We start from the raw sequence: 4,162 nt of genomic DNA, 5'->3' as shown, positions 1-4,162 counted from the left end.
TATTGAGCAATGTTTTGTATGTTTATACACATACATGTATGTACTTACGCACACACGCAGTCATGCATATGCTATATTTATGTGATATCTATTTTTATAGGTAACTGAAGCATATGACATAATGTTAGAATTTTTAAGTCTTTTTTAAACTAATGAAATAGTATACATATGCTTGATGTTTCTTTTTCGGCTTTTCTCTATCCCATTACCTTTTTACTCCACAGAGGTAACCATTATTCTGTCAGTGTTTTTATTGTTATTTCTTTTAAAATTTCCCAGCTAGTTCATTTTTTATTCTGAAGAAACAAAACTTTGTATTTCCCAGTTTTATCTGAAACATAATCATGAGTAATAGCATAGAAAAGTAGAAATTTGCCTTCTTTAGAAAGTTTTTAATTTGTTCTTTGTAGCACACAGTATAATATAAAATGTTTAAATCGGGCAATGATCTAGATTATTTAATTTAATATGTAATTATTTTTCAAATCAGAAGTACTAGAACACATATTTAAATATTGGCCTAATCTTGATATCACAAAGCAGAAAATACAGCATGTTAATTATTTTTAGGCATCCACCTTTACAAGCTCTTTTTGGGAGAGGTAGGGAACTGGACAAAAACTTGCCAATTGAAAGAGCAAGTACTAGCTTACTCACAAAGAGAAGATACCATAATATCAAAAAATGACCCATAGAATAGGTAAAATAGTATGCACATTTATATTAAATATTGTTTAATTGAACATGGGACAATAATCAAATGTTCCAATGTTAGTGCTTTGATGTTGTATGATATTGGACACTATGAATAAGAGGTCCAAGATTTAACTGCTTTTTTTCTTTTCTTTTTCTTTTTTTTTTTTTTTTTAAATTTTGAGACAGAGTCTCAATTTGTCACCCAGGCCGGAGTACAGTGGCATGATCTCAGCTCACTGCAGCCTCTGCCTCCCAGGTTCAAGCAATTCTCTTGCCTCAGCCTCCCCAGTAGCTGGGATTACAGGGGTGTGCCACCATACCCAGCTAATTTTTATATTTTTAGTAGAGATGGGGTTTTGCCATGTTGCCCAGGCTGGCCTTGAACTCCTGGCCTCAAGTGATCCACCCGCCTTGACCTCCCAAAGTGCTGGGATTACAGCCATGAGCAATCGCACCCAGCCTAACAACATTTTTTTAATCAAAAATCTTTGGAGAGGCTGGGAGTGGTGGCCTCTTCCTAGGTCCTTCTTCCTAGATCTCCCAACCTTACTGTAGATAATCCAAATTATTTCCTCCCATGGAGCTCTGTTCTTTGCTGCAGAACGAATAGGGTGATATTTGTTAAGATTCTAATAATTATGCATTTCCTCCCAACAAAATTTATAACATCTGTGGAAAAAAAGCTCACAATGTAGTTTCTCTTTTTCTATTTTAGAAAATTATAATTCTTCTTTGACAATTTTATTTTCTAGAATTTTCTTTTACTTGTCCAAGGAACAATTTCATTCTTTGGAGGGACTAAGCCAGAAAAATTAAGATTGACATTGAGGACTATGGGGGAAAAAATGAGTGTTTTCCTAGATGCTATGGACAAATAAAACATAGAATAAAAATGGAAAATAGAATCGGCATTAACTACAGATCTTTAGAGCACGGGCTCATTTGGCTAATGTGGAAAGAAGTGTAGAAAAACTTGAAAGGCCGTGCCCAGTGCTTTCTGATCAAAAGGTGGCTTTTTGCATTAATATACGCTCCATCCCCCAAAGTCTTACATGCTGCTTTTGTGAAATAAAAATTGTGTGTGTATATATATTCCACGCAATATATCATAGTAATTAATCCCCACCATCAACAAAAATTAGTTTTCTGACACAGGTAGCTTATGAATTTTTTCCCTCTGGAATATATGTTATCCATCTTATGTACCCTTCCTCTGTTTTTGGAAACCTTTAATATTAAGTATACCAGTACATGCAGACTGATTAACGATTACACAGTCCTACTCTCAGCTGTGGTAAAGGCCAGTATCAGAAAGTCGAATTGCCTTTGACTCACTCTAGATTACACTGTTGGGTCCTTTCACAGTTTATCAGTCCGTAGGATCTTTCTTCAAAATTAAGAAATAAATTGCCTTTCTCAAATAGATATTGTGCTTGAATATCCTGAGGGGAAAACTATCGTTTACTAACTACAGTATTTCCATATGGCAAGAATCTCCTCTATGAGTCGCAATTGACAAATTGGTCAAATCTCAGCTTTTCTTTATTTCTTATTTTTTTCATCTCATCTTCTTTTCAAATTTAGAGATTTTGCATGTCTTACTTTCTAGCTCAAAAACTCATAGATGCATTTAAAGGTATTTTTTGTGTCCCTTTTAATCTGCTGGTGTGGATAAAATATTTAAAAGAATTTTCACACAAATGCAATTATCCCCAAATATATCACATCAATATTTCACTTTTGGCATGCTGAATAAAAATAGTATATTCCAGTATATACTTGTGAATAAGTACAAGCTGTGAAGTCATATCTTAAAACTGTATCAAGTATTACCCTGGGCAAAATAGCGAGACCCAGTATCTGAAGAAAATTTAAAAAATTAGCTGGGCACAGTGGCACATACCTGTGGTTCCACCTGCTTGGGCGACTAAGGCTCCCTTAAGCCTGGGAACCAGAGGTTGCAGTGAGCTATGATTGCACCACTGCACTCCAGCTTGGGTGACAGAGCAAAAACCTGTCTCAAAAAAAATAAATGCACTAAGTTAGTCAAATTAACGTCTTTTTACTATTCACTGAAATTTCCTATGCTCTTCTACCTCTTCAGTTTTGAAGTGTACCAATGTTAGCAATTCATGTAAAATCCCTACATTCTTAGAAAACTGCATATATTCATTAATAATACATGCATTTTTAGTAGACATTAAGCCAGGCTTTAAATGTAATATTTTAAAATATTCTTAGACCAAAAAAAAGTTATATAAAACCCAAGATATACTTGTTTACCACAACAATTTTATTTTTCTGGACAATACGTAAATATACCAACATATTCCTCGTGGTACAGTGTCTACTGAGGTCAGGTCCTCATGTGTTATATGGGAACAACTAATTTGAGTTGGAATGCTCAGGGGAAACATGGTGAAGAGGAGAGTTTAAATGGCTTACCCAGTGTGTGGATATATAGAGACCAAAGGGAGTAGAGGATTATAGTTAGAAATTTGAGTAAGTCTTGTTTAGAAAAGAGTAAAGTGTTTGACCTTTATGAAAGCCAAGGATCTACACTGGGAAACAGCAAAGATACAATCAGACTAAAAGAGCAGGTTGCATTGTGGAGGATCTTCAAAAGGACATTTTACTAGAAAAAAAATAGGCAGATTCATTGAAGGTTTTTGAGTAGGTAAGCGCAATGGTAAAATCTGTGTTTTAAGAAAATAAACATAGAGCAATGTTTATTCATGTATGTTCTCAGGATTATTAATTAATGGGGTTACTCCAAAAGTGTCTCCATGGTCAAATACATGTGGAAAATTGTCGGTTTCTTTACTGCAAATTTTCTCTAAGATGCTAATATGTTTATAGATATTTTGACCATCCTGAAGAAAAATACAGGATTTGGCAAGCGTGACCATGAAACTCTTTCTAGAAAAACCTTCATGGATCAAGGATTAATGGCAAAAACTGTAATTACTTTCACACCAACATAATATAAAGAGAGAAATATTTAATATGATAAATATTCCAACCAATTACCTTGATTAGATTTATGAATATATCAAGTTATCACCTGGTGATATAGTTTGGATATTTCTCCACTTCAAATCTCTTGTTGATACATGATCCCAAATGTTGTAAGTGTGGCCAAGTGGGAGGGTTTTAGTTCATTGGGGTGGATTCCTCATGAGTGGTTTGGTGTCCTTCCCAAGGTGATGAGCAAGGGCTTGCTCTGTTAGTTCACAGGAGAGCTGGTGGATTAAAGAGGCTGGCATCTCCTCCCATCTCTCTTGCTTGCTCTCTTGCCATGTGACCAGCCTGCTCCCCCTTTACCTTCTCCCATATCTAAGAGCTTCCTGAGTCCCTCACCAGAAGCAGATGCTGATCTGTACAACCTTAAGCCAAATAATCCTCTTTCCTTTATAAGTTACCTCACCTCTGGTATTGTTTTATAACAACACGAAACAGACTAATA

Source organism: Homo sapiens, chromosome 4 (genome assembly GCF_000001405.40).
Source record: "Homo sapiens chromosome 4, GRCh38.p14 Primary Assembly".
NCBI lineage: Eukaryota > Metazoa > Chordata > Mammalia > Primates > Hominidae > Homo > Homo sapiens.
This window is presented reverse-complemented; position numbering follows the sequence as displayed.